General features: G+C 43.4%; 1 protein-coding gene across 8 annotated transcripts in view, besides 2 other annotated features; it reads left to right on the top strand.

Moving 5' to 3' along the window:
• AGBL4 (AGBL carboxypeptidase 4) overlaps positions 1–16,019 on the top strand; it is a 1,501,444-nt gene that overhangs the window by 1,375,050 nt on the left and 110,375 nt on the right. For all 8 annotated transcript variants that reach the window (NR_136623.2, XM_017002595.3, NM_001323575.2 and 5 more), the window contains one exon: positions 14,301–14,412. Coding sequence is in view for 7 of the 8 variants with exons in the window: in XM_017002595.3 (XP_016858084.1) it covers positions 14,301–14,412 (112 nt within the window). In the remaining variant the exon portion in view is untranslated. The remainder of the gene's footprint in view (positions 1–14,300; positions 14,413–16,019) is intronic.
• Positions 2,388–3,030: an enhancer, noted in NCBI's record as "OCT4-NANOG-H3K27ac hESC enhancer chr1:49111547-49112189 (GRCh37/hg19 assembly coordinates)". NCBI's record gives its function as "activates a minimal SCP1, AML or CMV promoter by ChIP-STARR-seq in naive H9 embryonic stem cells {active_cell/tissue: H9 hESC(naive)}" and the evidence as "EXISTENCE:reporter gene assay evidence [ECO:0000049][PMID:30033119]".
• Positions 3,031–3,673: an enhancer, noted in NCBI's record as "OCT4-NANOG-H3K27ac hESC enhancer chr1:49110904-49111546 (GRCh37/hg19 assembly coordinates)". NCBI's record gives its function as "activates a minimal SCP1, AML or CMV promoter by ChIP-STARR-seq in naive and primed H9 embryonic stem cells {active_cell/tissue: H9 hESC(naive and primed)}" and the evidence as "EXISTENCE:reporter gene assay evidence [ECO:0000049][PMID:30033119]".

Here is a 16,019-nt window from a genome sequence, read left to right as displayed (position 1 = left end):
TTCATCTGCATGGCCTCCTGGCCCAGTTGTTTTAGCTGTATGTTGTTGTGACAGGAACACTGCTATGCTTTAACCTGATGAGCTGCTGTTATAATTTAACAAACTGGATTCTCAGCCATACTTAGTTATTGCACGGAGCATGGTACTTTTAAAGGCACTTACAAAACCACATTTGGTCATACAACAGTGACCAAGAAAGGAAAGCCAGTTTTTACTGTATCCATTTCAGCCATGGGGAAACTGAGGCTGAGAAGGTGAAGAGCCATGTTCAAGGCCATAGGGTACATCCAGGGACTCGCCACACTCCCGCACATTGCCTTTGCTCTATAAGCTATAGGCAGAAGTGGAGAACTGAGGGTCTAATTTTCACTACTCTCCTGAGCATTCTTATTTGTCCTTGGACAAGACACTTCTCTCGCCTGGCCTATTTCCCTCCTACTCTCTTGGAAGAGGGAAGTGGGATGAAAGGCACCTTCCATCATTTAGTAGAAGCGCGGGGGAGAGGCTCTATCAAGAATGGGATGGCTACAGCATGAATGAAACTTGAGGACATTATGCTAATGTAATAAGCCACTCATCAAAAGACAAAGACTGTATGATTCCACTTACATGACGTTCTTCAAGTGATCAAATTCATACAGACAGAAAGCAGAACGGTGGTTACCAGGGGCTGGGAGGATGGAGAAAATGGGGAGTTACTATTTAATGGGCATAGGGCTTCAATTTTACAAGTTAAAAAGAATTTTGGAGATGGATGGTGTTGTTGGTAGCACATTATGAATGTGTTTAATGCCATCAAACCCTACACTTAAAAATGGTTATGATGGTAAGTTTTATGTTATGTGTATTTACCACCGTGTTACAAAAAACAATGGTATGGCTACTGACAATACAATGGGAATATTTTCAGAGAGTTCTGGAAGGATCTGGGACCTAGGAGTCTTGAGGGATGAATATTGTAACTTCAGGTATTACAGAGCCAAGAAGCTGCAAGCAACTCCTAGTTGGAAGGCAACTGGAGTTGGGGGATGATGGGCTGAACCAGTGTAGAATCGGTTGGTAATTCTCAATGTCTTACAGAAAGCATGCCCACAACACACACTGCAGCACTTGCACACTCTCTCTGCCAGCTCCTTCCTCGTCACTTCTTTTGCAGAGAAGAAAGCCCCCACGCCCACCTATACCCCACGGCGCTTTCTGAGCATAGGTAATGCAGAAGTTGCCTGCATTTGAAAAACAGACTTTCCATCTCCGTACAACAATATGAAACCCTGTGTTGGGTTTGCATTTCTTAATTAGGTGCTTGTCATTGTGTATTCCATAGAGCCACGTATAAGTAAACAGTCATAGACCTTTGAATAAATTTATTGGTTTTATTTATGTTTCTGGGCATAAAAATCTATAATTACCAGGTACAGCCTCAGAATAACTGGTATTTAATGACAATTACTTTTTGTTACCATAGAAATGAGTCCAAAGTAGTTACCCATAATTTCTCATTTCCCAAACCTCACACATGCTGAATTGCAATATTACCATAGTAATTGCCTATTAGTCATCATAAAATACGCAGTTACCCAAAAGATAGCAGAATGCTGTGAAATTTCTCATCTTTGGAAAACCTCAGTATTTCTTGGGAGTGTGGAGGTGGGGTGGGGAGGAACGGACCTCTATGGGTGGTACAGAAATGATTCTGCGTTATAGCACGGAACTGCAGACCCCATGGTGGAAATGGATGCTGTACAATCTGCAGACTCTCTCCATCATTATGTCTCTTGGCCTTGGCAATCCTTATGTAGCAAAGGATGCTCCAGTGCAGTAAATCCAGTATAACTAAGGTTTGTTGAGGTCCTGCTGGGTGTCAGGCCCTGTGCTGGGCCTTGGGGAAGCAGAAGGAAATCAGAGGCAGTTCTTGCCAATAAGAACCCCAGTGTTTCCACTAGAAATATGGGTGTGATGCAGTAGAGGCTGAGAGATACAAGAGGAGCTAGTATGTAAGTGTCTCCTCACTGCACATTATAGGTATCGTTTCATTTAGTCCTCACAGCAGCCCCATGATGGAGGTAGTATGATGCTCCTACTTTAAGTAGAGGGGGAGGTTGAAGCACATAATTACCACGGAACTTGCCCTAGTTGCTGACCCTAGGCTGCTCCAGTTTTAACCTCTTGATACACTGTCTCCTGAAGCAGAGAGTACTTCCTTCTGACTCATAGTGATGAAGGAGGGTTTTTGATGGATGGACAATATATAAGTTCACCAGACATAAAAAGGAGGTAGAGATTTACACAACAAAACTTCATTAACCATAGCAGAGGGTAAACCACCAGGGAAGGTATTTCCAGCACCAGCACACACACACACACACACACACACACACACACACACACACATTATAACTGGTCTACCTACCTCTTCCACCTCAAAATCTAGAGGAAGAAACATTTCAAACTATCCAAAAATAGAACAGAACCTAAAATCAGCCATGTAAAATATAAATACATGTCAATGTTCTATTTGTTCTGTAACAGCATAAAAACTGCCTATTTTTTCATCAAGCTAGAAACAGAAAACAAAGATCCACAGCAAGTATTGCCCTGTTGAGAGATCTGCCAGCCCGTCATCACTCTGAGCCTCCTTCCCTGCCCCAGTCACATTTCCCTGCTGGGTGCCCTATCACAGCATCACGAGAAACATTCAATCCAGTGCCCGATCCAGGCCATGCCCCCTCTGCTTGCCTGCCTCTAGGCACAGGTTGTTCCCTCCCTTCCAAGGCATCATGCTGTGCTGATGCCACCTCTGACTGTGAGACAGCACTTTGTTTTCAGGCTGAAGCTGCCAGCATGTAACTTCTGCCTCGCCCTCTGAAGGATTATTCAAGGCCAGCCCATCTTTCACATGGTAGCCTTCAGCCATTTGAAGATCATGTGTTCCCACCCTTCGCCACTCCCCACTCAATCCCACCACTGCTCCAGGCCAAACATCCCCAAAGCCTTCCAACCTTTCATATGTAATCTGAAATCCATTCCCCTCCCTGTCCTTCCCGCTGTCCTCTGAACGTGCTCCAGATGTTTGTCATTGTCTGTCTTTGAGGCGGGGTGTCCACGACTGAAGGATATCATTATAATGGTAATAGTGATGATGATGGCTAACATCTACTGAGCCTTCTGAACCTGGCACTATTTTAGGCATTTTGCATTAATTGTTTCATTTAATCCTTAGAACAAATGCATCATTATGCTCATTTTACAGATGAGGAAACTGAGACACAGGTAGATTAGGTACCCCCCTTCAAGTTCATAGAACTAATTAATTTATGGAGTAGGAATAGAAAGGGGTCATCAGAAGCCTCATTCTGGGGACCACGCTTCTTCTGATACAGCCCACATGCATATATTTCTGTCTGACATTGAGCTCTCCTCAGCCTAAATCTTTAATTTTTTCCACTTGCATTTCTGCTAAGCTGCAACTCCCCCATCTTCCCTTAGATCCTTACAAGAAGCCTGTGGTGTAGGCAGGGCAGGAATCACTCTCCTTCTTGAAGCAAAGAAGAAACCAAGCCACAGAGAGGCTAAGTAACTTGCTCAAGGTCACACAGTGAGTGAGCCACACAGTCAGATAAAGCCAGAGTGACAGCACGGGCCAGACAGACCCTTACCTCCCAGGGACTCTCTCCTGCTTTATGTAACCTGAGTGATGTTTCTGTGGAGGCTGAAAGGACACTGGGGCTGGCAGTGTAATCAGGTGTCTAACCCACAAGTGCACACCGCCAAAACCAATTATTCAAATGAGCTTCCCAGCCAGGTTCCACAGAAAAGGCCAGATGGCTAGATGTCTGTGGAGGCAGCTCCTCATCTCTGTCCCTGCAAGCAGCTGAATAGCATTTCAAAGTTAGAGTTGATAGCAAGTTGATCTTAATAATTGATTCTACAGTGAAGACAGGCCTCTGAGGAGACAGTAACCCAGAATTAGCAGCTAGGGAGTCTGGAGGAGCAAAACAATGTGATAGAATCAAGAACTTCACCATTTCTGGTCCTAGTTCCTAAACCACTGCTTGAATAGTGCCAGTTCTTTGTGTAAAAATCCTTCGGCGGCTCCCCATTGACCCTCAGAAAGAACGAAAGCTCTTTAGCCTGGTATTCAGCGCCTGCACAATGGCCTCAAACTTTCTTTTCAGCTTCCTCTCCAACTGTCCACCTTGCCCCTTCCTGCATCCACTCCCATCTGTTCCTCTTGCCTTCCTGGGCTCTTTCCATTGTCTTAAACCAGCCTGCTCTTGCTCACATCTGTGCTTTTGCTGGCACTCTGCTTCCACTTGAGAAGCCTTTTAACTGTTTCTTCCCTCTCTTCTTTTTTCCCTCTCCTGCCCTCCCAAGTCACCAACCCATCCCCAAGCGCATACTTTGTACCATGCACTGGGGAATATGAGGTGGGCTTGGCCCCCGCGCTGCCCTTAAGGAGTTCACAGTCCAGAGAAGAGATAACTGTGCTGGTGGAGGGAAGCCCAGGGATTCCCAGGTTGTGAAGTCACTGAGGAGGCACCTCTTAACCCAGCCAAGAGGGTTGGGATAGGGAAAGTCAGAGAAAATATCTGAAGGAAAAGCTGTGTGAGATGAATCTTGAAGGATGAGTGGGAGTTGGCCAGGGGAAGAGAATGGCAGCATGTTCCAAACCAAAGGAATAATTATAATAAATAACAACACAGTAATATAATAATACGAAACATTAATTGAATGTATATAGCTGTCAGACACTATTCTAAGTGTTTTATATGTAGTACTTCCACTAGAGATTTGGAGTGATAATGAGTCATACTCCTGCTCCTACTCTCATTCTATTCCTGCAATGTAGAAGGAGATACAGGGATCAGAAAAATAGGAGTCAAAATATTAGCTTTATTATTGATAAAAGCAGGACCTGGGAGGCATAGTCTGTATCTGTGGCCAAACTTGCCTCCTTTACTTCACTTCAAAATTCAACTTTCCCACCAGACACAAGCAGAAAAGGAGGCAAGAAGCCTCCTAGAAAGCACACCATGTGGCAGAGAGAAGACCAGAATAGACCCTTCAGGATTCCAGATCCCAAAAACACATGCTAGGAGGGGCTAGGCCCAAACGGGCTCTGCTTCTTTTCCGGAGCTGACCAGTCAGATAAGTTTCATCTCCTTCCTTGGGAAGAGAAAACGAGGGAATGGAGAAGAAGACCCATTCTTTTCATTCCTGAGGGCTGAAAGTTACCATTGGGATTGAAAGCAATGGGGAGTTCCTCCCAACAACCTCATGAACCTACGAGATAGGTCTTGTATTATCCTCATATTGCAAATAAGGAAACTGACACTCAAAGAGAGGTTAAGTCATTTGCCCAAGTACTGCCTTTAATAGTAGGAGATCCAGGAATCACACCCAGTGATTTGATTCAGAGCCCTTTGAGTCTTACTGCTTGAGTCCTGAGTGAGTGGAGATCCTTGAGGAATGCCAAGTGCTCTGGTGTGGCTGTTGCATGTGGTCTAGGCTGCATCCTACATAGGGTACAGTCTGTGCACCACACAAAGGTGCCAGCTAAGTGGGTAGGTGGAGGGTAGAGTGCAGCACAGGCTTGACAAGCCTTGAGACTTGGCAGAAATGCGTCAGCCCACAGAGGGGGCACCTTTTTGTTATTAGCTCACAGGCCCTATCATGTGCTACCCTTGTATGGTTTACAGATTGACAACATAGTGTAAGAAGTGTAGGAATAACTGGGGACCAGATTGTGAAGGATCCTGAACATCATACCAAGAGCAAACCACAAGAACAGCTAACATGTGTAGCACTTATCTCAATCTAGATGGTGTCCTTGGCATTTTACCTGTATGATTTCATTGAGTCCTCAAAACAACCCTCTGAGGTAGACAAAATTCCCACTTTTCAGATTAGAGCTAAGGCACAGAGAGGTTCAGCCACAAAGACAAAAATGTGTTGGCCAAGCCAGGGTTTTATCCAGGCCGTGTGGCTCCAGAGCCCACACTTGACTCAGAGCCATTCTCAGGCTCGGTGCAGGTAGGTGAGAGCCTTGCCAGCACCCAGGTCTTGTGAACACATGAAAGACTTTTATGCCCCCTTTTTTGTTTCCTCTGTCCTTTTTCACTTAAGAAACGGAAATGGTGAATTCCTAGCCTCAAGGGCCAGTGTATTCCTTCAGAAAATGTCCTCCCTCAGACCTTTCAAAAAGGAGTAAACTCCTTATCATTGTTCTTATATAGAGAAAAATAATCTTTTGGTTCTGGAATGGACTTTCCACTCTACCCTTGAATAGCCATGTAACCTTGGCAGACCCTCTCTGCCCTCTCGGCCTCAGATTCCCCATCTTTGAAATGTGGGGATTGGGTTTTATGAAATCTCAGGTCCTTCCAGTTGGTCACTGGCTCTAAGAATTAGTTTTAAGTTGCAATGCTGGAAATCCACCTGAACCCAGTGTTTGTTGCTGCCAAGCAGGAGAGAGGATGAATCCCTGGAGTATATGCTCTGTACGGGAAGGGAGAAGGCACTCTAAAGCCTCTCATTACCCACTAGGAAGAATTTCTTAGGGTTGGAGATAATCTCTTTTCCAGATGTGATCTGAGCGCCCTTGTCCCCAGTCACACCACCTTGCCGAAAAGGCCACCATTATAGGGTAAAGACCTTGCTGAATGAACCTTGGAAGAAGAAAAACTAAGTGCTAATCTTGGCTTTGCTATAAACCTTGGGCACATCCAAGTCTGCTCCATATGGATGTGCAGTTTGTACACTGTACAAATGTTCAGTGGTCAAGGGGTCAATGGGGGCTATGGGCTATGACTCTGCTCTCAATCCAAAGTCTGGCCAAACCAAGTGGCATTATTCTGTACTTTACCCACCCAGAAATGGCACCTGATTGCAACTTATTACCCTGGGTGGTAGGGGGTAGCACCTTTCGTCAGTTTGCGTAAAGGAACCTTTCATGTTAGTCCCTCATTTGAAACTTAGATTCCCCATTTAAAAAAATAAAGATATTGCATCTACCTCTCACTGCACATGAGGGACAGTCCCTCTATTAGGCTCTTACCTGACTCCTAGGACTGCTAAGACAGAGTATAATGGTGGCTAAGAACATAGGCTTTAGAGTTGGGCAGACTGGGTTCAAGCTCTGCCTCTGTCACTTGTCCTTGCTGGACCATGGTCAAATTACCACTTCTGAGCCTCTATTTATACAGTTCAACTGAGAGTCAGCTGTGTACGAGACACTGTGCTAGCACTGAAGACCCAGTGGCAAATGAAATAGATTCAGTCACTGCCCTCTCAGCACTTTCAGGTCTTTGAGCAAACAGATGAATTTGTCCAAGGTCACAAAGCTACTAGATGACAGAACTGGGACTCAAACCCAAGTCCTTCTGCCTTTGAAGCCTATGTTCTTATCCACCCTCCTCTCTGTCTTCACAGTCTTGGTCACAGACATCTCCTCGTCATGATGATCTAAGAAGGGATGTGAGGAGAATGCTTTAAATATCTTGGTGGTGGTGATGGGAAGTGGATGTGTTATGATTATCCCTTGTGTTTGGGACAAAGGACACTGCCTGCAATCCTCCATCTACACAACAGCAGAGCCCAACCCACATGCTAAGCATTTTTCAGGGGCTGTTGATGACAGATTATCTGGCATTCTGACATGGCCCAATCAATAGAACTGGAAGGTGCCTCAGGCCAAGGGCAATTGAATCCCAACCTTTTAGTGGCATTAAATAAAGCAATATTTATTTTGCTTTTGGTGCAAATATGCTTAATCCAATCCAGCTCATTGGTAATGCTGAAAAACTGCTGTGTTTGGGGGACAATTGCTGGCATACCTCATACATCTCTGCTTGTCAATGCCACTGCTCCTTAGAGCAGCCTCACGGTGCTCAGGGCAAGATTGATCTGGAGCCGCCAAGCTGCCTTTTTCTCTATCCTTCTTCAGAGGAGAATGAAAAAGAAATCATAAGGAGGGGAATTGAAATCATTGCTCTCATTCTAGCTGCCATTATTGCGAATAGCGATAAGGCATGATGTCCTTCATGAGATGGGGCTATTTATTTGGCATTTGTATAACATTCTCTGGAACCATTATATCTCTGCTATTGGGCAAACGAGAAAGAGAACAGGATAGGAAGATCAGACAAATGAGTAGCTTAGTGTCTCTTTTATAAATCACACACACTCACAGATGGCTGGGAACCTCAAAGGTGACTGTGAACCATCCTGCCATCAACAAGACCTGGGTTCAAATCCCAGGTCTATATCTTACTAATTGTCAAGTGACCCTCTCAAGATGAAATCTTTCTTGGATTTTATTTCCTTATTTATCAAATGAGGATTAATAATACCTATCTCATTTGATTATTGTGAATGAGTCTAGCATTTAGTAGGTGCTTACTTTTCAAAATATATCTGAAAGTAACTATCTAACCCATGTTTGCAAACCTGCAAGGTATTCATCCATGCTTTTGTTAATCTGTTCACTCATTCATTCATCCAATAAATATATTGAATCTTCTCTGCACCTGGGTTTATAGTAGACAATGTTGGAGTGGGGGTGGGAAAGATAACTCACACATTATCCCTGCCCTCATGGAGTTCACAGATTAGAGGAAGAAAGAAAAGATACTTAAGAGTATCTCCAACTCAAAATAAAGACATTATGTATTATGCAGTCATATGTAAATTTGGCCCCCATATATTTGCATTTTCTAGAATGGTCCTAATGTGAAAGATTCTTTCCCACTGGTGCCATAAATAGCCCCATTCTTTCTTGTCAGAACATAGGTCTTGATTTTGAGCTCATGCAAAATTTTCATCTTAAAAACAAATAATAGAATACAAGAGCACCAAGGAGACAGAGACTCAGGGCAGGGACCCAGGATTTTGCATTCAGTAACTCTAAACTGGCAGTCATAGGAGTGAGAGCCTGGCATCTGGAGGCCATCTTATGCGTTCCTCTGTCTTTAGGCAGCTGCTTTTTGGTCCTGAAACCACTAAAGAGAAAGAGCCTGTACCAGCCTTGGCCTCTTGTGCTTATAGTCAGTTAGGGACACAAGCAGAACATACTAGCAGCCTGTTAGAAATATGCATAATTGCTGACCATTCTTGCTTCCCTAACTTTGCACATGCTATACCCTTTGCCTGGAATGCTCTCTCATGCCTTGACTCTTGGCAAACTCCCATTTGTGTCCCACAAATCTCAAATGTTGAGCAATGCATGCAATTAATGTTAAGATATTGGTCATCCTTGACTAGTTGGTGTTTCATTTTAAAACTGTATCAACACTTTTCCTCGAATATTTTGTTTTCTTTGAACTTTAACTTAATTGGAAATATATGCTTTCTCCAAAGTCCCTTATTCTGGGGGTAAAAAGCCCAGTTACTGATGCTTTAGAATCATATATTGAGAGAGCCGAAAGAGATCTCTGTGAGTGAAGTATAGCATTCCATTTTACAAATAAGTCCATTGAGCCTAGGGAGAGGAGGTGACTTTTCCAAGATGACACAGACATTGGAGGTGGGACCTGTACCCCAGGCTCCTAGCCAGGGATCCTGCATCTTTACTAAGATGTTTTGTTCAGTAAATACTTATCTACTGATAGATTGAGTGCCATTAGAAGCATTCATTTAAAATCAGCTCAAAAGGTGCCCATGCAGGTACTACTCACTGAAGAATATCACAAATGCTTTAGCTTCTAAAAAGCTCTAGACTCTCTGAGGATTGAAGATGCCTGTGAATCACCAGTTACATTCTATTTTTATTAGCAGGCTGGATCTAGGAGTTGACCTTTCAGGATCTCTGACCTCTAACAATTTTCCTTCAGTTTTGAAGTTCTTTTTTGAATCAGAGGTTTCCTGGAAGCAGCATAGCCAACTGGGGAGACTATGAAGTCCAGAACGGGACACCTGAGTTCTAGTCTGGGCCCTTTAGAGTACTTGTTATGTAGCCTCGAAAGAATGGCTTACCTTTTCTAGCCCTCAACACTCCCACTAGAAAATTGAGGTTTACCATGTGATTGAATGGTCATGAGAACTATATAATATGAGACAGGAAAATGCTTAGGAGGAATGAAATGTTTGTTCAACAACTACTTCTTCGATGTCTGCCATGATCCAGGCTCTTTGTCAGGCACAGGAATACCAACATGAATAAGATGGCATCCTTGCTCTTGAGGAATTCATGGTCCAGTGGAGAAGCGGACTCAACAATTACATCTTGTCCTATAGCCACTTTGCTGGGGGAGCAACAGATGCTATGGGAGCAGAAGAAAAGCACCTACCCCTCATGTGCAGGGAGTGAAAATCCTCCTCTACTTCCTGGAGGAGCTGATATTTAAGTTTAGACAATTTCAACAGTGCCACAATTATCACCACTTCACTGCCATCACTGGCTATAGTTTGTTCAATGTTTATGTGTTTCTGAGAATTCTCCTGGTCCATTTATAGACATTAATTCATGTATGCAATCCAGAAAGTCAGAGTGGTTATCCTCTTTATACATATGATAAAACAGAAGCCTACAGGTGCATTTAAAAAAATAAATTTAAAAAAGATCACACAGCTGGTGAGGAACACAGCCAGAACTTAAACATAACTGTAAGTCCCAAAGCTGCTGGTCCCCACAGTATAAACCTGTTGTTCTGTGCAACTCCGTGGGGCAACGCTGAGAAGGATGGAGGAAGTAACTGGGAGGCACATTCAGCTAAAAAGGAAAGAAGAATTTTCTAATGGAAGATTCAAGAATGAGATAAGCTAACTGGAAAGGTGGTGAGTTTTAGGTCATAGAGGTATCCTAGAGCAAGCTGGTGACATGCCCAAGACAGTGCTGAGGACATTCCTATTTGGGGGCAGAGGAGAGGCACATAACTGAGCATCTCTAAGGATACAATTGTTTTATGATTACATCCTGTTGTCAAGGGTAATGTACCTTTCTAAATATTTAGATGCTCAGTGAGGGCTGGAAAAGCTTTGTGAGCACAGCACCCAGACCAGTGATTCCCTCTGTTTTTTGACTAGTCATTGGGAAGTGGACAATATAGGGGCCTGCCAGAATTTTCTATGACTTATTTCATAGGGCCATCTGATTAGGGGTGCAGTCAGCTAAAATTAACAAGGACTGACTCTAGCCACTTAAGCAAAAAGGGAATTTATACGAAGGGGCTTACAGAATCACACAGAAACTGGTAGCCAGACTTGAAAACCAGAGCAATTAACCGAGCAGCTCTGAAGGGCCAGAATACTCTGCCTCTGTTCCACAGCAGCACTGCTGCACAGCACTCCCTGCTGCCTCGCATCACCCAGTCCCAAGTTTACGTCCTGGGCAGGAGTGGCTGGTGCCTGAGCCTGGGTTTCCTATAGCTGCCCTGGCTTCCAGGGAACAAAGAGATAGAATCTGGCTCATCTGGCTTCCGTGGAGGGAGACGGGGCAAAATCATGCCTCATCTTGTAATGATGGAGGAGCAAACTCACCACATTCAACCCCCCATCTAGTAACAGGGTTAGATGCTGGGCATTCCCCAAAGAACATGGACAAATGCCCACTTCACCTGGGAGGGAACAGAGCATGGATTTGAACTCAGATCTGCCTAATTCCCAGACTGAAGGAAAAGAAGAGGTCATCCCTGACCACTGCTGCCCATTCCAGCCTCCAATGGACTGCAAAACTATTAGTCCATGTCATTCACATAGAACATAGCATAAAATAATAATACAGACCAATAAAAACAACAATATAGCATTTTTGAGTTACCATTATGTACCAAAACCTATGCATTAGCTCATTTAATACTCACAATATTGTCCTGCATTATAAATGGATATAAACCTGTAAGCATATCTTCTTCCTTCTGCTAGATTATACATTTCTTGAGGTTAGAGAATATCTCTTATCAATCACTCTATCCCAGCAACACTACCATGGAGCTTGGTGTGTAGAAGGTTCTTAATAAAACCGTGATGAATTGCTGTGTTTAACTCTTGCCTCATCCTTGTTCCCTGAACCAGTCTCTCCTCCTTAATTTACTTATACATTCTCAAAAGCAGAGAGCTTGCTTAAACTGTTTGTTCCCTAGAAGAGCATAGATATTAAAGCTGGATAGTCCTGGGTTTGAAGCCTGCTCCACCATATGCTGGCCGAATTACCCTGAGCAGGTTTCAGATGAGTGTGGCTGTGGGGCTCTCTCTCTGTCCTTAATCACTTTCATGAGTAGCAATACGTCAGATAAGAATATTTAAGAACTGCATGAATATGTCTGTAGATCAAGGCACTAGTCACAGCATTGAATGTTTCCTTTCTGAAAGACAATTTAATGTAGTCAGAGGAGAGCAGAGTAAGGAGAGCAATTGGTAAGATTTTGGACTCTGAGAATCAGGTTGACCTGAGCTCAAATTCTAACTCCATTACATAGTAGCTCAGTGACCTTAGAGAAAGTTATTTACATTTTCTAAGCCTTTGTTTTCTCCTCTGTAAAATGTTAATACAGGGCTTGTATGGCATAAAAGCGAAAATGAAATGCGATAATTCATGTAAAGGTACTAGTAAGCACTTCTTAAATGTTAGCTACTGCTGCACTTACCACTATAAGCTCAGAAAGAAAAGATGGCAGGAACTACATCAAAGGCTAACAGGAGTTATATCTGAGTGATAGGAAGGTGATGTTCCTTTTTTCTTTTTTGCTTTCTATATTGAGGACCATTTTTCATTTTTAATAGTGATTTTACAGTCAGTCAATCCTCTTACCAAGCAATTCTACTTCTGGGAACTGTTCTAAGAAAAAAATTCTGAAATGTGGAGAAAACTTTAGGGATTATAGTATTCATCAGTTCATTTTGAAAATAGTGCAGCACTGAAAACAAAATAAATGTGCCACAGTGGGGAAATGCTAAATGAATTATGGGGGTTCATATAATGGGATGATATGTCATGTTATAACACTATTACAATGTTAGTTACAAAGAGTTTTCTAACAAAGAAACATGCTCATGTTGTAATGGCAAATGAAGAAGGGACTCCTTTGCAAGTTCAAGGTCAGGAGGTAACTTGCTGGCCTAGAAGGTGAGCATCAGTGATCCCCTCTGTTTAGAGCACAGAGAATGGTTGGTATCTAGGCATCACTGCTCTTATGGAAATCTTGGACCAGAGAGGACATTTCTTTGTGTGGTCCTCTCCACTGAGGATGTGGGGTAGGGAGAGTGCAGTCCATGATGAAAGAGGCTCTTGAAAAGCTTGTGGTCCATTTGTAGAAGCTCCTTCTCTACTTGTAGCTGGGGAAACGTAGGCCTTGAGAGAGCAAGGGACTTGCCCAGGGTCACGTAGTACACCATCCACAGAACAGGGGGACTGAACTCAGTGATATCTCCTCTGCATACCATGGGGGCATTATCCCACACTCACGAAGGATGGACTTGCCAGAGAGGCTAGGCAGGACGCTAGTGAAAATCTGAATGTGGAGCCAAAGGAAGTTCCTGGAAGTTTCCACATTATTCTCTGGTTCTCACTGAGACAAAAGTAGCATAGCACAGTGATAAGAAATGGGGTTCTCCCAGTCCCTCCAGGGGCATTGAGGAAAGAGGCATTTGGAAAGAGAAAGCTTATGCCCTGGTCTCCTCAAATCCACACATGCAACTAGCTGTCCAGGCTCAGCTAAGGAAGGGAAAGAACATAAACCTATGTAACTGGAGCACTTGAATCCAAGTCCAAGCCTAAAATGTCTGGAAATCTTCAGTCTTCTGCTGTACCCTGTCATGGAAGGTGAGGTGGGAGGAGGCAAGGAGAAGACAAGAAGACCAGGTAAAATATGATTACAGTTCTCTGGACCTTGGCCCACACTCAAGGTAATACCAGAGGAAGTGGTAAAAAGGTGTTGGGTTATGGTGTATTTTGAAGGTAGAGACAATGAATTAGCTATAGGTGTGAGCAAAGAGGCATAATGGGAACACCAGTAGTTGTGGCCTGAGCATTTTTCTCAGCTGCAGTGTGGAGAAGATGTGCATGTGTGTCTATGGGTCATGTGTCTATGGATGCTGACATGAGGCTACACCACAGAAATACTTTTGAATCTCTCTGTGACTCAGTTTCTTACTCTGCAAAGTGGGAATTGCAATAGTAGTGACCTCACAGGGTTGTTGATGACACTGAAAGAATTAACTCATATAAAGTACTTAGAACAGTCTCTGGAAAATGATAAATGCTAGGTAAGTGACATAATCACTGCTCCTACTCATAAGCATATTTTGACAGGTGAGAAGCTCAGCTTATCCTGTCTATATTGACTCTTACTTTGGGTACTGCCTAGGTGTTCTCTGATGGGATTTGATCTGAATCGTCACTGGCTGGATCCCTCTCCATGGGTCCATCCTACCCTGCATGGAGTGAAACAACTCATCGTCCAGATGTACAACGACCCAGTAAGTAACTGAATGCCCTCCACAGCTGCTGATCTATGGCTTGATCTGGGAAAGGGCAGCATTGTATTGGGAAAGTCCACTAGAAGCTGCAAATTAGGAATACATAGCTAAAACCAGGGAGGCACTAGGCCTGCTCTTCTCTGAATCCAGCAGACCCAAGGACCTTCTCCCAATCTCTTTTCCTGCAACCTCTCACAAATAGTGGATTCAGTTTTGGAGGTCTGGAGGGTTAAAGGAAATATATTGGAGTGTATCCATATTTGTCAGGGATCTTTGGTTACAAGCTAAAGAAATAGGACTTGAATTAGTATAAGAAAAATAGAGAATTTATTAGAAGAATACCAAGGGCATGTCATGTAATTGAAGACTGTAACCTGGCTTCTTCTACACATAGGGAACTTGACTGCTGAGTGTCACATCCAAAGGTTCTCAACACTACAGTAACTTATGCTCATTTTCCAGTTCCAGTTCCAAAAGGATTGTGATTGACCTAGTCGGGAGGACAGGCCCACTTCTGGGCAAGTCAATTCTGGCTCAGAAGACAAGAATATGCAAGGACAAGGCAGCCTCTCTGGAACCATGTGGATGGAGTTGGAGGGTGGGTTGGTACCTGTTTTCAGAAAAGAGGGCCTACCATTTCAGAAGAAAGAAGGGGACATAGGCAGACAGAACAATGGGTGTTCACACCAAGTTTGCTCCCTGGGGCAAGTTCTTGTTTGTAAGAAACAGGAGAAGACAGCAGGGTTTCATAGCTTAGAGAAATGAAGCAAACCACGGTATTCTGTCTCTGAAGAGCTATCGCAGAATGGGGGGACAGACCATTTTTTCAGGTGGAGGATATGGGAAGAGGTAGAGAAATAGAACTTTTTAACAACTATAGCTGCCTAAGAATGGAGTATGTGTGTGTGAGCTGTGAGCTTTGCTTTACTAAAAGTGTTCAACTTTTAGTCCAAAAGGGTGCACAGAGGAGACTCAATTGTTGGAAGACATTCTAGTGAAATTCCATTTGAGTCCCTTCCAACTTCAATGACTGATTTTATGACCCATGACTGCTGTCAGGTGAGAGATGGTGATTGCTAAGACAACAAAAGTCACACAGTTGGGGTACTTCAGAGATGCACCAATGTAACCCATTCTACTTACCCTCATTGAGGATGCCAGTGAAAATTTCCTGAATTAAAGAGCGACATAGGTATTGATCAGATAGAAAAGTGCGCTTAAAAACAAATGCGATATATTAGAGCAGGGATTAATGAAAAAGTCAGTCCTGAGGTGCAATGTAGTTTTCTTGGCTATGAAACTCAACTGTTATCTTGGTCCTCCTATGTAAATTTTGCTTTCCTAGGTCCTTTCACAGTATACCTTCTGTGTCAGGTCTTGCATAACCATAACCCTAGGATATTTGCTTCCTTCGCCAGCTCATCCTTCTTTGTCTATAAAAGAAGGTGTGAACTGTGCTCACCAAATCCATATGCAGAGATAGAATGATTGTGGTTTGCTGCCTTTCTCTAAGATTTGAAACCCCACTGTCTTCTCCTAGTTCTTACAGACATGAACTTGTCCCTGACCTCTCAATGTCATCCTGATCAGCTTTCCTTGCAGAGAGA

The sequence above is a fragment of the Homo sapiens genome, chromosome 1 (genome assembly GCF_000001405.40).
Source record: "Homo sapiens chromosome 1, GRCh38.p14 Primary Assembly".
NCBI lineage: Eukaryota > Metazoa > Chordata > Mammalia > Primates > Hominidae > Homo > Homo sapiens.
Note: the sequence above shows the minus strand (reverse complement) of the source record. Positions and strands in the feature narration are given on the sequence as shown.